The sequence below is a fragment of the Homo sapiens genome, chromosome 12 (genome assembly GCF_000001405.40).
Source record: "Homo sapiens chromosome 12, GRCh38.p14 Primary Assembly".
NCBI lineage: Eukaryota > Metazoa > Chordata > Mammalia > Primates > Hominidae > Homo > Homo sapiens.
The window spans coordinates 51,490,376-51,507,123 of NC_000012.12; the positions used below are offsets into that span (position 1 = coordinate 51,490,376).

The 16,748-nt window shown below is 41.2% G+C and overlaps 1 protein-coding gene across 8 annotated transcripts in view, besides 3 other annotated features; it reads left to right on the top strand.

Annotated features, from left to right (window-relative positions):
- SLC4A8 (solute carrier family 4 member 8) overlaps positions 1–16,748 on the top strand; it is a 124,318-nt gene that overhangs the window by 98,930 nt on the left and 8,640 nt on the right. For 4 of the 8 annotated variants that reach the window (NM_001405270.1, NM_001258401.3, NM_001039960.3 and 1 more), the window contains 5 exons: positions 3,329–3,397; positions 4,570–4,743; positions 6,612–6,749; positions 13,654–13,745; positions 15,460–15,555. In NM_001405270.1, the coding sequence (NP_001392199.1) occupies positions 3,329–3,397; positions 4,570–4,743; positions 6,612–6,749; positions 13,654–13,745; positions 15,460–15,555 (569 nt within the window). Of the gene's footprint in view, positions 1–3,328; positions 3,398–4,430; positions 4,485–4,569; positions 4,744–6,611; positions 7,253–13,653; positions 13,746–15,459; positions 15,556–16,748 lie in introns of those variants that run through there. The other 4 variants (XM_011539011.2, XM_011539010.2, XM_011539014.4 and 1 more) reach the window with 2 other exon arrangements.
- Positions 6,699–6,798: a silencer, noted in NCBI's record as "silent region_4470". NCBI's record gives its function as "represses an Ori minimal core promoter by ATAC-STARR-seq in GM12878 lymphoblastoid cells {active_cell/tissue: GM12878}" and the evidence as "EXISTENCE:reporter gene assay evidence [ECO:0000049][PMID:35858748]".
- Positions 11,476–11,977: an enhancer, noted in NCBI's record as "H3K4me1 hESC enhancer chr12:51895635-51896136 (GRCh37/hg19 assembly coordinates)". NCBI's record gives its function as "activates a minimal SCP1, AML or CMV promoter by ChIP-STARR-seq in naive H9 embryonic stem cells {active_cell/tissue: H9 hESC(naive)}" and the evidence as "EXISTENCE:reporter gene assay evidence [ECO:0000049][PMID:30033119]".
- Positions 11,978–12,477: an enhancer, noted in NCBI's record as "H3K4me1 hESC enhancer chr12:51896137-51896636 (GRCh37/hg19 assembly coordinates)". NCBI's record gives its function as "activates a minimal SCP1, AML or CMV promoter by ChIP-STARR-seq in naive H9 embryonic stem cells {active_cell/tissue: H9 hESC(naive)}" and the evidence as "EXISTENCE:reporter gene assay evidence [ECO:0000049][PMID:30033119]".

Sequence of the window (16,748 nt, forward strand, 5' to 3'; positions counted from 1 at the left end):
AAACCTCGTCTCTACTAAAAATACAAAAACAAAATTAGCCGGGTGTGGTGGCAGGTGCCTGTAGTCCCAGCTACTCAGGCAGGAGGCTGAGGCGGGAGAATGGCGTGAACCCAGGAGGCGGAGCTTGCAGTGAGCCGAGATCATGCCACTGCACTCCAGCCAGGGCAACAGAGCGAGACTCCATCTCAAAAAAAAAAAAAAAAAAAAAAGATGAGGTGGAGCCATGCCATGGATGGTGGGACATGGCATGGAAGGAGGGGAGAAAAGCAGTCTAGTCAGGCCCTTAGGTGGGAAAGAGTGATATGTGTTCTACGAAATATCAGGGCCATGTGGCTCATGGGCATTGAGTCAAGACAAGAGCACAGTGCAATGAGAAGGAAAGAGAGGCAGGGGCAGATCATGTAGGGCCTTGTCGACAGTGGGCAAGGTAACCTTTGAAGGGTTTTAACAGGAGAGGGACATGATCCAGCTAGTTTAAAAAGATCACTCTGGCTGAGGTCTAGGGAAGAATAGAAGCAGACAGACCAGTGAAGCTGTTGCAGGTGACAGATGATGGTGGCTTGGATAAGGAAGCTGGTAGCAGGGACAGATAAAAACGCATGGCTTCTGTATAGCTTGGAGGCAGACCCAAAGGTCTCAATTGTTGACTGGATGTGGAATGGGGTGAGGAAAATAGAAAAATCGAAGAAACCTGTTAGGTTTCTGACTTGACCATCTGGTGGAGTGTGATGGCATTTATTAAGATGGAAAAGATTGTATGATTTTTGTGAGGGGTGGGGCTGTGATCAGATTTGGAGTGAGATGTCTGGGAGTCATCTAAGTGAAGAGGCTAGAGGAGGGTTCTGGACTAAAATATAAATTTGGGTATAAATTTGGGAGTCAACAGCACATAGGTGGTATTGAAAGCCGAGGGAATAGATGAGAGAACTCAGGGAAAAGAGACGACGTAAAAGAGAAGTGGGACATAAGAGCAGAGTTAGAGGTTGGATAGAAGAAGAGGTAGCAACAGAGTCTCAGAAGGAGCTGCCAGAGAGGTGGGAGGAAAACTAGGGGGATGTGGTATTAGGGAAGCCAAGTAAGGAAAATGTTTCAAGAAAGAGGGATTGGGTAGACACGTCTTGGAAAATGAAGACTAAGCTAAGGCCATTGGATTTAGCAACATTGGAGGCCTCAGGTTATCTGACAAGAGCAGAGTCAGTGGATTGCATTAGTTTCTGCTGCCTGTGGGTGATTTAGAAGTAGAAGCAAAAGCAGAAGCTGACCATGATAAAAATCATTTTGTTCTGAAATGAAATGATTACATGTAAGTTAAATTACAGGCCTCCATGTCTGGCTCTTCCTCCACCCCTGTCTGGGGATGGGCAGACACACACACACACACACACACACACACACACACACACCCCTCTTTAACAGAAATGATGCCTTTTAAATCTTCCACAATCTCAAAAATCTTCCAAATCCTTAGGGATTTAGTGCATTTTAACATGGAACTTTTTTACTGACCAGTGACTTGAGGCAGGAGTTGGGGGTATCTTATCAGAGAAGGAATTCAGTGGAACTATAGAGTAGAAATCCAATTATAGGTGGCTAAAGAGTGAATAGGAGATAAGGAAGTAAGGACTGCAGGCAAATCTTTCAAGAGGTTTTTCTGCGAAGCAAGATGGAAAAATGGCAGTGGCTAGTATGAGAAGTGGGGCTAAAAGAGAGGTTTTTTTTGTTTTGTTTTGTTTTTGGTACAGATAGAGGATACTTTGAACATTAAAAAAATGTTTTGTGGGTGGAAGGCCTGCATCTGGGAGATTGGGGTGAGAAGGAAACTTTACGGCTGTATTCCCAGGTGCCAGCCATTCTGGAGCACTGCCTTGTCTCCCTTGCCTCCTCTTCCCTTTTTTTTGGCAAATCTTCAACCACCCCAGCCTGTACCACAAATGCCCTTCAAGGGTGAGAACTGAGAGGGATGGGAAGGATTTCTGAACCATCTTCCTGTCCCCTCACTTTCCACTCAACCTTACCACCCACCTCTCCTGACACCCCTTTCCCACCTCATATTCCCTGTCCCCAGCCCAACTCCCACTCCCACCTGGTTGAGGCACCATCTGGAAGAGCCTAAACGTTGCTGCTTCTCCAAGATAGAACCATGAAGGCGCGGCAGTGGCCATCCCTGGGCTTTCCCCTAGCTGCTTCAGGACAATTCTCTTAGGACAACTATTCAGTAGTTCACAAACAACATCGAATTGGAATGTCTAATCACTCTACAGCTGGAACATAAAATCCAATGGGGGATTTTCTAATTTTTTGTTTTTTAAAATTTTACTTTAAGTTCTGGGATACATGTGCAAAACGTGCAGGTTTGTTACCTAGGTATACATGTGCCATGGTGGTTTGCTGCACCTGTCAACCGATCATCTAGGTTTTAAGCCCCACATGCATTAGGTATTTGTCCTAATGCTCTCCCTCCCCTTGCCCCCCACCCCCCAACAGGCCCTGGTGTGTGATGTTCCCCTCTCTGTGTCCATGTGTTCTCATTGTTCAGCTCCCACTTATGAGTGAGAACATGCAGTGTTTGGTTTTCTGTTCATGTGTTAGTTTGGAGGGATTTTCTAATTCCACAAATTAGATTTGAGAATATTTATATAGTCCCAAAAAAACTAAATTATAGTCCAATTTAGTTTTCAGCTCTGAGACTTTCCTTGCCTTGATTCTATAGGCCCAATTTCCCTACCTCAGAGTCAATCTGAAGATTACCTAGGTTGATAGACATGACGTGATCAGAAAGTCATGTTCAAATACTGTGTGGATGTTCAAGTGCAGTATAATAATGTCGGTGTTTCCCCCCAGACCATTACCTCTTTGATAAGATACGTCCCCACTCTTGCCCTCAAGCCACTGGTCAGTAAAAAAGGAAGCTTTTTTGGTTCACGTTAAAATACATCAAATCCCTGAGGAGATGATTGTGAGATTACAGAAGATTTAAAAGGCATTATTTCTATAAGAGAGGGGTGCGTTTGTGTGTGTGTGTGTGTGTGTTTGTGTGTGTGTGTGTATGTGTGCCCATCCCCATGGAGGAGGAAGAGCCAGATGGGTGAGATGGGAAGTCTAACTTACATGTAATCATTTCATTTCAGAACCAAATGATTTTTATCATTGTCAGCTTCTGCTTTTGCTTCTACTCCTAAGTCACCCACAGGCAGCAGAAACTAATGCAATGTGTCTGCAGCTATTTTGTGACTTTGTTTCATTCTTGGAGATTTAAAAGTGTATATAGTTTTGAGTGTGCTATGATACCAAATTTAATTTCTGGCCTTTCTTGTCCTTTTGTCTTCAGTTTATTCCAATGCCAGTACTCTACGGAGTTTTCCTTTACATGGGAGTTTCTTCACTACAGGGAATTCAGGTATTGTATGGTTCAGCCAGGGCAGTTTCTTCTCACTGCAAGTTTGCATGTCCTGTCCAGGGAGGGACAGCTCCCCAAGAGAAGCACAACCAGTTCTTGAGAAAATTGTTTCCTAGTCTTGCCACTTAGGCTATTTTAGACATGTATTTGGATATAGGGAGAAAAACAGCCATGTTGGCAGGAGAGTACAGAGACTTCCAGGGTGGTCTGGCTTGATGTCATGGCTCCAGTTATTCATTAATTATTCAACAGACAATTTTTTTTTGGCATGTATTAAACATTAGTTGCTTTGCCAGGTGCTAGTAAACTTGGATCTGAAAGGTTGATCAAGAACCAAACTGGCTTTCACTCATGGACAGATCTAGGTTAGTGCCAGGCTAAAGTATAAAAATGGGGTGTTTAACTTTGGGAGAGGGTTCATTGGCAGAAGAGATAGGGGAATAGTGGGAGTTGCTCCTGGTAAGGAGATGTCACTTCTTGTTATACTCTGCATTTTTCCATCCATCAACTATTGCTCTAAGTCTTTCAAAAAGAAAAATCAGGAGCTTGTCATTGATAACTTGGGTATTCCAGATAATATAATAACTTAGGCTGATTATTCTTTGTTTGAATGGAATGTCCTATGGCCATTCTTTTTTTTCTTTTTTTTTTTTTTTCCTATGGCCATTCTTACATACTGAGTTCTACTATGAACTTGGGCAGGTTATTTAATCTCTGGTTCTCTTTTTTCCTTATTGTAAGGATGATCATTTTTTATATATCTAGGATGTTATGAGGTTTTATTTTATCTTTTCACTATAAATAATCAATGAATGGCTCCAAACTCCTAAAACAAGTAAGAAATTTGGTTTTGATAATAAGCAAAAAGATGTAATTGGTTTATTTTGTTTTCAACACCCCCTGAGAAAGAGCTCTCTTAGGAGACACAGTGTGGGATAAGAGAAAGAAGTTTGAACCTAGAATTAGAAAAGATGGATTCAAATTTTGACTTTGCCACTTAATAACCTTGGCCAAATTGCCTGGTCTTTTAAAGTCTCAGTTTCCATTTCTGTCCAGAGGAAATGGTGTTACCTACCTTTCAGAGCAGGTAATGTAAGAGATATGAATTGGTCTAACAAAGCTTCTGACCCAGAATGCCCTCCTGAAAATAAATGCCAGTTCCTTCCTTTCAGTTCTTTGATCGTCTAAAGCTCTTTGGGATGCCCGCAAAGCACCAGCCAGATTTCATCTACCTGCGGCATGTGCCGCTGCGCAAAGTGCACCTCTTCACCCTCATCCAGTTGACCTGTCTCGTCCTGCTCTGGGTCATCAAGGCATCTCCAGCTGCCATTGTTTTCCCAATGATGGTGAGGTGGTTTTTAAAAAATAAATTCTTATTATCATTGTTATTTTTTAGTGGTAAAATATTATAACTTTAAAATTTACCATTTTTAAGTGTACAGTTGAGTGGCATTAAGTACATTCACATTGCTGTGGAGCTATTACCACCCTCCAGCTCTGGAACTTTTTACATCTTGCAAAGCTGAAACTCTGCACCTATTAAACACTAAATTTCCATTCTCCCATACCCTCAGCCCCTGGCAACCACCATTCTACTTTCTGTCTCTATGTATTGATTATTCTAGGTACGTCATATAAGTGAATCACAGAATTTGTCCTTTTGTGACTGGCTAATTTCTTTTCTTTCTTTCTTTCTTCTTTTTTTTTTTTTTTTTTTTTTGAGATGGAGTTTCACTCTTGTTACCCAGGCTGGAGTGCAATGGCATGATCTCGGCTCACTGTGACCTCCACCTCCCAGGTTCAAGCGATTCTCCTGCCTCAGCCTCCCTAATAGCTGGGATTACAGGTGCCTGCCACCACACCCAGCTAATTTTTTTTGTATTTTTTTTAGTAGAGACGGGGTTTCACTGTGTTGGCCAGGCTGGTCTCAAACTTCTGACCTCAGGTGATCCACCCGTCTCAACCTCCCAAAGTGCTGGGATTACAGACATGAGCCACTGCGCCCAGCTTGTGACTGGCTAATTTCATTTAGCCTAATGTCTTCAAGGTTCATCCATGTTGTAGCATGTGTCAGAATTTCCTTCCTTTTTAAGATTGAATAGTATCCCACTGTATGTAAATACTACATTTTGTTTATCCATTCACCTGTCAATGATACTGTTGTAAATATGGGTGTACAAATATCTGTTTGTGTCTCTGTTTTCAGTTCTTTGGGGTATATGCCAGGAGTGGAATTGCTGGATCATATGGAAATTCTATCTTTAATTTTTTTCTAATCCTCTAGATCCACACCCTCCTGGTGGGTTTCTCAATTTTGTCAGGCTACATATAAGGGTTTGTATTCGTGTGTTACGTTCATGGGTTAAATAAATAGCAGATTACTGGGAACTCCTAGAAGGGATCCTATCAATTCCAGATGTATTAGGAAAGTAGTCACTAAATTAGAGAGAAATGTACTTGAATTTAATAAGCCTGATTTGCCTCATTCCTTGTCCAGTCACCAATTATAGCTGATGAACAGCAGTCCACCCAGGCAGGATTAATTCTTTGTTTTCCTTTGGCTAAAATGGCCCTCATGGAAAGAAAGTGGAGCAGCAGTTGAGATGCCCTGGACATACCTTTATCGGGGAAATCAGCTGTCAGATTTTAGGCGAGTCACTTTCTCTCTCTGGGCCTCAGTTTCCTCATTTATAAAGCGAGTGTCAGGCCAGGCCAGAGGGCAAAGACAAAAACCACTAGAGACAAATGATGCAGGCCCAAAGCAAGGATTTGGGTAGGGGAATGTATAGGCAAAGGATCAGAGGGAATAAAGATGATCTTCTAAGAGAACCCATCATCCCACTGTGAGGAATGCTTGGGTGGCTGTGGCTGGTCCCACCATGGCCCAGCTCCAGCAGAGGCTTTCTACCCACCTGCTGTCCTGTAGCCTTCCTGCTGACCCCTAGCCATCTGCAGATGATGTGCTCATCTTTTCAATGACAGAATCCAGTTAGCTGCTCTCTAAGTTGTAGAGCTGTTATGATAGTTAAAATACTGTATGTAACACATGTTACCTGGCACAAAGAAAGCATTCAATAAATGGTGACTGTTAGGATTATTATGAGTTTGATTTTGCTTGAAATGTCCTAGTCTGCTGTGAAAATAAGGCTTTGCTTTTAAGTCCAGGAAGGAAATTAGTCCCTTTAATTCACTTTTTTTTTTAATTTTTCTTCAGGTTTTGGCCTTGGTCTTTGTCAGGAAAGTCATGGATCTCTGTTTCTCTAAGCGAGAGCTGAGCTGGCTAGATGATCTCATGCCTGAAAGCAAAAAGAAGAAGTTGGATGATGCCAAAAAGAAGGCCAAGGAGGAAGAGGTCATAGTCCTTGCACCAACTGTATACCTGGGGGCCTCAAATTACAGAACATAGGAAGGGTCATGTGAAAAGTCAGCATGTCTGGAATCCCGAGGGTTATATTTAGGAGCTGGGAAGATTACCCCCAAAGATGTTCTCAGCTAAGAATGGATTAGGGATTCTTGCTTCTGTCTGTTCTTAATTTTTGGGTTTGACAACCACTTATTTTTTCCTTTGTTTACAATCTACTCACCAGGCTCATACCTACAATGTGAACATACAGTATGCCCTTATTAGCAGATTCAATGGCTCACATTCTTTCAAAAGGTCTAATTTGACAAATACATAAGACCCATTATTTCCTAGAATGTTTGTAATATATCTAATTGCAAATGGTGCTGTGGTTGGCACCATGCAAAGATAACTTGCATAGGACTTTCTGTCTTTTTTCATTTCCCTCAGCACTTGGCATCTTGTCATCTACACAATGGACCCTCAATAAATGGCCTATATGTGCAAAGAAAGAATGTGTAGCAAATGAAAATACCAGACCAAGAAATGAGTGAGCTGGGAAGTGTTTCCAAATACAGTTAGTGCCTAAAATAGTGTCCTTTGAAAAAACTTTTAAAAGACTTTTTTTTAGGCCAGGCATAATGGGTTATCCCTGTAATTCCAGGGCTTTTGGGAGTTGAAGCTGGAGGATTACTTGAGGCCAGAAGTTTGAGACTAGCCTAGGCAATATAATGAGACCCTGTCTCTACAAAAAAAAAAAGAAAAGAAAAGAAAAAAAATCAAAATAATTAGCTGGATGTGGTGGCACATACCTGTAGTCAGCTACTTGGGAGGCTGAGGTGGGAGGATACCTTGAGCCCAGGAGGTTGAGGCTGCAGTGAGCTGTGATCATGCCACTGCACTCCAGCCTAGGCTGAGTGAGATCCTATCTCAAGAAAAAAAAAAAAGATGACTTTTTTTTCCCCTAATATCTTGAACTTTAAAAATCTTGTATTTCTAAATAAGCTTCAACAATTATAAAATATAAAGTCAATGGAAGAAAACTTTAAAGAGAATATTGATAGAATTCACTACATAAAATGTGATGCTTTCAGGCATCCAAAACTCTAATCAAAATTTTAAAATAACAGATAAGTTGAGACATGTTAATATCCTTACTATTCAAATAATTCTTATAAATTAATAAGAATAATATGAAATTGAAATGAGCAATGGACATATATAATTTACGAAAAAGAAGTACAAATGACCAGTTGCCTTATGACAAAAATTTCATTCTCACTAATAATCAAAGAAATGATTGTGCAGCATCTGGATTTTATGAAATGAAAATAAATATTAAAAAATAAAAAAGAAATGAAAATTTAAGCAAGGAGAATACTTTTTTACTTGTCGAATTGGCAAAGATTTTTAAAAGATAAAAACAAGTGTTGGCAAGACTGTAATTGAAATTGGCTTCTCATACACTAAAAATAGTAATATAGGCTGGGCGCGGTGGCTCATGCCTATAATCCCAGCACTTTGGGAGGCCGAGGTGGTTGGATCACCTGAGGTCAGGAATTTGGGACCAGCCGGGCCAACATGGTGAAACCCCGTCTCTACTAAAAATACAAAAATTAGCTGGGCGTGGTGGCAGGCGCCTATAATCTAGCTATTCCGGAGGCTGAGGCAGGAGGATCGCTTGAATCTGGGAGGCGGATATTGCAGTGAGCCGAGATAACACCACTGCACTCCAGCCTGGGTGACAGAGAGAGATCCTGTCTCAAAAAAAAAAAAAAAAAAAAGAGGCTGGATGTGGTGGCTCACGCCTGTAATCCCAGCACTTTGGAAGGCTGAGGCAGGCAGATCACCTGAGGTCAGGAGTTTGAGACCTGACCAACATGGTAAAACCCTGTCTTTACTAAAAATACAAAAAAGTAGCCAAGTATGTTGGCGCATGCCTATAATCCCAGCTACTCAGGAGGCTGAGACAGGAGAATCACTTGAACCCGGGAGGCAGAGGTTGTAGTGAGCTGAGATCATGCCACTGCACTCCAGCCTGGGCGAAAGAACAAGACTTTGTCTCAAAAAAATAAAAATAAGAAAGATATGTGGACGTGTTTCTGACATTTTATGTGAAAAACATAGGGAATATAAAATGGAGCATACAGTAAGACTGTCAAAGAATCTCACTTTTACTAAAACATATACATATACACATACTGTACACACACACACGTGCATGTGTGCACCCCCCACACACGTGAAAAAGATTGGAAGAAAATACACCAAAATGTTTATTGTGTTGCTCTATGTCTCTCTAGTTGGTAAGATTATACATTTTTTGATTAATTTTCTTCCTCCATATTTATTGAATCCTTACTCTGTTGGTCACTGTTCCAGATACAGTAGTATACAGGACACAGACAGTCCCTGACCGACCACATGGAGCTTACATTCTCTTGGAGGAGACACTGTCAACAAGCAAACAAGTCTATATTTGTTTTCTTGGTTATAGTGCTATAATTCTACACACACACACACACACACACACACACACACACGTATATAATTTTAGGTAGTGATATGTTTTAAGAAGGTAGGGAGTGAGGGAGTTACTTTATTTAGGATGATTAGAGATGACTTCTGAGGAGACATCTGAGTAGAGACCTGAATCAAGTGAGAAGCAAATTATGAGAATATCTGGGAGTAAGAACATTCCAGGGCAGGGGTACAGAAAATGCAAAGGTCTTGAGGAGGAATGAGCTTGGTGTGTTTGAGGAACACCAAGAAAGCCAGTAAGACTGGAAGGGACAGAGTGGTAGCAGGGAGACCAGCTAGGAGGCTGGCAGCAGCTCAGGCAATAGGGGAGGGTGGCTTATGCTAAGGTAGAGGTGATGAAAGTGGCTGAATTGGGTACTTATTTTGAAGATAGAGCTGACAGGTTTTGCTAATGATGGTGGGCATGGGTGAAAGAGGAATCAAGTATGACTCTTAGATTTTTGGACTGAACAACTGAATGAATGGTTGTGCTATTTATTAAGATGGGGAAGACCAAGGAGAACAGCAGGTTTAGGAGGAAAATCAAGAGATCTCCTTTGGATGTTAAGTTCGAGGTGGCTGGTAGACATTATATTCCTTATTTTCCAAAATTCCTGAAGTAAGTACATATTTGTTAACACGTGTTACTTTATAAAATTATTTTAAAAGCTAAATGAAATAAAAGAAAAAAGTGAAGACTTTTTCTCCACCTCATAGCCAACATTCATGTTCATTTCTTTATGTTGTTTTCAATTTTTTAACATAGTTTTCATATAACTATGATAATTATATAATTGTGAGTTTGTATTTATATATATAGCACATATATATTCTGATTTTTCCCCTCAACCTGATTTCATAAGACACTTTCATGTTTCTATTTGTATCATGATATTTTTTAAATGGATGTATAATGTTCTATAGTATTATCTCATACTTAATTTAAATATTTTTCCTTTGTTAAAATTTTTAGTTGTTTTATATTACTTTGAACATCTTTGTACAGATAGTTTTTTCTCTGTAATTATTTTCTTTAAATTAGTGGGATTATTTTCTTTTCTTTTTTTTTGAGATGGAGTCTCGCTCTTTCGCCCAGGCTGGAGTGCAGTGGCGCTATCTCGGCTCACTGCAAGCTCCGCCTCCCGGGTTCACGCCATTCTCCTGCCTCAGCCTCCCGAGTAGTCGGGACTACAGGCTCTCGCCCCTGCGCCTGGCTTTTTTTTTTTTTCTTTCTTTCTTTCTTTATTTTTATTATTATTATACTTTAAGTTTTAGGGTACATGTGCACAACGTGCAGGTTTGTTACATATGTATACATGTGCCATGTTGGCGTGCTGCACCCATTAACTCATCATTTAGCATTAGGTATATTTTTAGTAGAGACCGGGTTTCACGGTGATAGCCAGGATGGTCTCGATCTCCTGACCTCGTGATCCGCCCGCCTCGGCCTCCCAAAGTGCTGGGATTATAGGCGTGAGCCACCGTGCCCGGCCAGATTATTTTCTAAGAAAACATTTTATTATGGATTTCTAAAAAAAGTTATTTTAGATTCAGGGCATGTGCAGGTTTGTTACATGGGTGTAGTGAGTTATGCTGAGCTTTGGGCTTCTAATGATCCTGTCACCCAAGTAGTGAACATAGTACCCCATAGGTAGTTTTCCAACCCTTCCCCTGTCTTCCGCCTTTTGGAGTCCCCAGTGTTTTTTGTTCCCATCTTTGTGTCCATGTGTACCCAATGTTTAGCCTCCACTTATAAATGAGAACATGCATTATTTGGTTTTTTGTTCCTGCGTCAGTTCACTTAGGGTACTGGCCTCCAGCTGCATCCATGTTGCTGCAAAGGACATAGTTTTGTTCTCTTTGTGGCTGCGTAGTATTCCATGGTGTATACATACTACAGTTTCTTTATTCAATCCACCATTGATGGGCACCTGGGTTGATTCCATTTCTTTGCTATTGTTAATAGTGCTGCAATAAATATATGAGTGCAGATGTCTTTTTGACAGAACAATTTATTTTCCTTTGGGTATATACCAAGTAATGGGATTGTTGGGTCTAATGCTAGTTCTATTTTTAGTTCTTTGAGAAATCTCCAAACTGCTTTCCACAGGGGCTGAACTAATTTGCATTCCCACCAACAGTGTAGAAGTGTTCACTTTTCTCCACAACCATGCCAAAGTCTGTTATTTTTTGACTTTTTAATAATAGTCGTTCTGACTGATGTGAAATGGAGTCTCTTTGTGGTTCTGATTTGCATCTCTGATGATGCATGATGTTGACCAGTTTTTAATATGTTTGTTGACTGCTTGTATGTCTTCTTTTAAGAAGTGTCTGTTCATATCCTTTGCCCTTTCGCTTCTATGCACCAATAACACCCAGGCTGAGAGTCAAACCAAGAACACAATCCTGACTACAGTAGCCATAAAGAAAATGAAATACCTGGGAATACACCTAATCAAAAACATGAAAGCACTCTCTAGAGGGAGAACTACAAAACATTGCTGAAAGAAATCAGAGATGATTCTCTGAAAAAGAAGTCAGATTAGAAATGATTCTCTGAAAAAGAAATCATCTCTGATTTCTTTCAGCAGTGTGTTTTTTGTTTGTTTGTTTGTTTTGAGACAGAGTCTTGCTCTGTCGCCAAGGCTGGAGGGCAATGGCATGATTTCAGCTCACTACAACCTCCTGCTCCTGGGTTCGAGCGATTCTCCTACCTCAGCCTCCCGAGTAGCTGGGATTACAGGTACCTGCCATCACGCCTGGGCTAATTTTTGTATTTTTAGTAGAGACAAGGTTTTGCCATGTTGACCAGTCTGGTCTCGAACTCCTGACCTCAAGTGATCTGCCTGCCTTGGCCTCCCAAAGTGCTGGGATTAAGGCATGAGCCACTGTGCCTGACCTCTTTTTTTTTTTGAGATGGAGTCTCGCTCTGTCGCCCAGGCTGGAGTGCAGTGGTGTTAAAAACTGGTCAACATCATGCATCATCAGACATGCAAATCAGAACCACAAAGAGACTCCATTTCACATCAGTCAGAATTACTATTATTAAAAAATCAAAAAGTAACAGACGTTGGCATGGTTGTGGAGTGCAGTGGTGTGATCTCGGCCGACTGCAACCTCTGCCTCCCAGGTTCAAGCGATTCTCCTGCCTCAGCCTTCCTAGTAGCTGGAACTACAGGCATGCACCACCACGCCCGACTAATTTTTTTTTTTTTTTTTTTGAGATGGAGTCTCGCTCTGTCGTCACCCAGGCTGGAGTGCAGTGGCGCCATCTTGGCTCACTGCAAGCTCTGCCTCCCAGGTTCACGCCATTCTCCTGCCTCAGCCTCCCGAGTAGCTGGGACTACAGGCGCCCGCCACCTCGCCCGGCTAATTTTTTGTATTTTTAGTAGAGACGGGGGTTTCACCGTGTTAGCCAGGGTGGTCTCGATCTCCTGACCTCGTGATCCGCCCACCTCAGCCTCCCAAAGTGCTGGGATTACAGGCCTGAGCCACCGCACCCAGCCAGCCTGACGTCTTTCAGCAGTGCTTTGTAGTTCTCTTCGTAGAGATCTTTTACCTTATGGATTATTATTATTTTTTTATTTTTTATTTTTATTTTTTTTTTGAGACGGAGTCTCACCCTGTTGCCCAGGCTGGAGTACAGTGGCGCAATCTCAGCTCATTGCAACCTCCGACTCCCGGGTTCACGCCATTCTCCGTCTCAGCTGGGACTACAGGCGCCCGCCACCACACCTGGCTAATTTTTTATATTTTTAGTAGGAACGAGGTTTCACCGTGTTAGCCAGGATGGTCTCGATCTCCTGACTTCATGATCTGCCCACCTCAGCCTCCCAAAGTGCTGGGATTACAGGCGTGAGCCACCATGCCCGGCCTACCTTATTGATTATTTTAAACCTACAAAGGTAGAAAGAAAAGGCTTCTTATTGTTAATAATTTGTTTATTTGAATTAGCATCCAAAGAAGAGCCATATATTGCAATTGGTTGATATCTGTCTTAAATCTTTTTAGGGGTTCCCTTTCCATTTTTTTAAAGTTGAAGAAACAGGGTCTTTGACCTCTAGGGCTTCTCACCATTTAGATTTTGCTAAATGTGTCCCTTGGTGTCATTTAAAATGTTCTTCTGTCTGCTATATTTGTAGTAAATTGGTCATTAGCTCTAGAGGTTTACTCAGATTGACATTTTCTTTTTTTCTTTTTTGAATGCCATTCCACATGTATAAATATCTGGTTGTCTCTCATTTTGTGGTAACTCAAGTCTATGAAAGAACCTAATTATATTCTTTATAATAAATGCACAATGAAATTAGGTAGAAATTGTGGTAGAAGAATGGGCTGGTGAACTTATGGTCTTACTTGGTCCAAGATATAATAATGTTTCTTTTTCTTCCAGGAGGCTGAGAAAATGTTAGAAATTGGGGGAGACAAGTTTCCCTTAGAGAGCAGGAAGTTACTAAGTAGTCCTGGAAAGAACATCAGTTGCAGGTAAAACTTCCAAACACCAAGGAGTTTACTTTTGGGTTATTCTCTAAGTGTTCTGGCTTTGTGGTGGTGGTGGTGTCACAAGTGCAGCTGCTGGCATAAAGAGCTAAATATTCAGCCTCCCAGTTCCATCCTGTGAAAATACCTTTTCCATCTCATTGTTTATTGAATACCTGCTATGTACCAGGCACTGTATCAGGTTATGGGAATCACAAGAAGAGAGGTAAGAAAGCCAATGTACTGAGTGCCTCCTTTGTGCTGGGATTGTGCTAGAGGGTTTACTTATGTGTTGTCAGTTAACCTGTACTCATATGAATATCACTATCCACATTTGTATAAGTGAAGAAACTAAGTCTTAGAGAGTTTTAGGTAATTTATCCAAAGTTACAATGTTGCTGAATAGAAAGATTAGGATTCAAACCCTGGTCGTCTTCTATTCCTCAAACCAGTGCTCCTTCTGCCTTTCTTTGCCACCTTCCAAAGATGAAAAGGATGTGGTCTTTATTTCCAGAGAGTTCTCAGCCTAGTAGGCATGAAATCCAATGCTTGGGCAAGCTTTTGGGGATAGGCAGAAATAGTCAATGTTAGCCTGGCTTGTGGCATCTGTAGTTCTGGGAGCAAGGGGGAATTGAACTGGGATCATGAAAATTCCTTACTTCTGCCAATGATTTTAGCCCCTTTCTCTATCAAACCTATTGCTCACCACAAATGACAGGAAGCTAAATTGGTCCATTCATGGTTTTACTCCTAGCATCTTGTTTCTGAATTGGAAGAGATACACATAGCACTTGTGTACCTCTAGGTACCATAAGCTGAAAAACCTAGAGGTCAAGAGGGAGCAGAGCAAAGGAAAAGAGCAGGATATCTGGGTCATTGAGATTCTGAAGAATTTACTGCTGCATCACTGAGTTGGTTGTGGTTTATACTGTGGGGGAAATTAGGACAGTCTTTTTCGTAATAATAGTCTTGGTTCTTAATAAACTTTCTACGTGTTGTTGTGGAAGGAGCCGTGAGCTTGATTTATCTGGTGGCAAAGTAGGAACAATGTTTCCCCTGTAACAGGATGCTGCCTCCTCTCTTGGCATTTTAGAAGGAGATAATCTGGCTTGCAGCAAACATCAAACTATTCTGTTTCTAGGAAACCAAGGGCTGGGTTCAAGGTCTTGATTCTCTACTTGCTGTTGTTTGACCTTGGATAGTCACTTAGCTCTGAGAGCTTTCATTTCTGCACCTTCAAAATGAGGATGTTAATAATCTCTGTTGCTATGATAGTTAAGATACTAGGAAAGTCCTTTGTGAACTATGAATAGAAGAGATTTGGCTGTTTAAATGGGAAAATGAATGAAAAATGCCTGGCATGCAGCAAGTGCTCCGTAAGTGGTAGTTCCTGATGCTACACTGTTGATATCATAGTGTTGTCAGCAGCATCTCCAGTGAGGCCCTTCGGAGGAGTGCACAGTTGTGGGAGCAGGACTGGCTGCCACCTGGCACACCAGCCCAGCTTTCAGCACCACCTCATGGGCCACCTTGCCATTCTGACCTCAGTGGCTGCAGGAGAAAGATCAGACTCCATCTTGTTCCCCGAGTTCCTGAGAGCTGTTGGCTGCGTGGTCTCAAACCCCATCTTCTCCCTTCTATTGGGACAGTGATCATTATAGACTGTGGTATGTATTTTACTTGTATGTCTGACATTCACTGTCCTAATGATTGATTTCAGATGTGACCCCTCTGAGATTAATATATCTGATGAAATGCCTAAAACTACAGTTTGGAAAGCTCTCAGTATGAATTCTGGAAATGCAAAGGAAAAGAGGTAAAGAGAACTGTAACATCTGGTTTTTATTTATTTCTGGCTTTTGACAATGGCGATATTGAAGGTAAAATGTGTTTTAGTTGTAAAATGGAATTTGTGTAATAAATAGCACTTCCAGGAACTGCCGCTAACCACATAAGAATAGCTATAAGCCTTAAAAAAGTAAAAATGTTTTCTAAATATTTGGTCAGGGTGTTTTAAGCAGCCCGTTTACACAGGTCCAAGGTCAGGAAGGGATTATTTTGGCATATAAATTTGCTTTGCCTGTTTATTTCCTTTAATCCTCTTTCTAGTTCTCATTTCAGAATCTGAAGGGCATGTCTCTGGTTACTGCAACCACACAAAGTAGGAAATTGCTAAAATATTCAGATAGTGTTGATAGTACTGATACATTCTTTAACCTATTTCACTTGTTACATAATGAGAACTAACAACAAGTAAAGATTTTTGAAATATTAAATTGTAACTGGTTTTTTTTTTCTTTCTTTCTTTTTCTTTTCCTTTTTTTCTTTTTTTGTTTTTTTGAGACGGTCAGTCTCTGTCTCCCAGGCTGGAGTGCAATGGCACAATCTCAGCTCACTGTAATCTCTGCCATCCGGGCTCAAGCAATCCTTCTGCCTCAGCCTTCCAAGTAGCTGGGAGTACAGGTGCATGCCACCCCTGCCAGATAACTTTTGCATTTTTATAGAGATGAGGATTTACTGTGTTGCCCAGGCTGGTCTGGAACTCCTGGACTCAAGGGATCCTCCTACCTTGGCCTCCCAAAGTGCTGGGATTACAGGCGTGGGCCACTGCACCCGGCCGTAACTGTTTTTCTGTTTTGAAACCAAATACCGTATATCATTTACTAATAGCATAGATCAACCTTAATCAGGTTAATGAAGAAAATGGAAGAACTTGAGGCATTTTTGCCTGCATTGAGGTAGGCTATATGCCAAAATTTCTTGAATAATTTAGTCCAAATACCATTTAAATATAAGTAAATAACTGAAGACAAAATCTGAGGCCTTCCTAAAGTCAACTTTTCTAGTTAAAAAAAAAAAGCTAGGAATTAGGAGACCTAGTCCTTCGATTAATTCCTTGTATAACTTGGCAGACCACTGTTTCTGGTGTTCAGTTTACTCAGCAGGAAAATGGAGATAATAATAACTAACTGCCCCACTCCTGAGGCTGCTCCAAGGAGAAACTGAAGT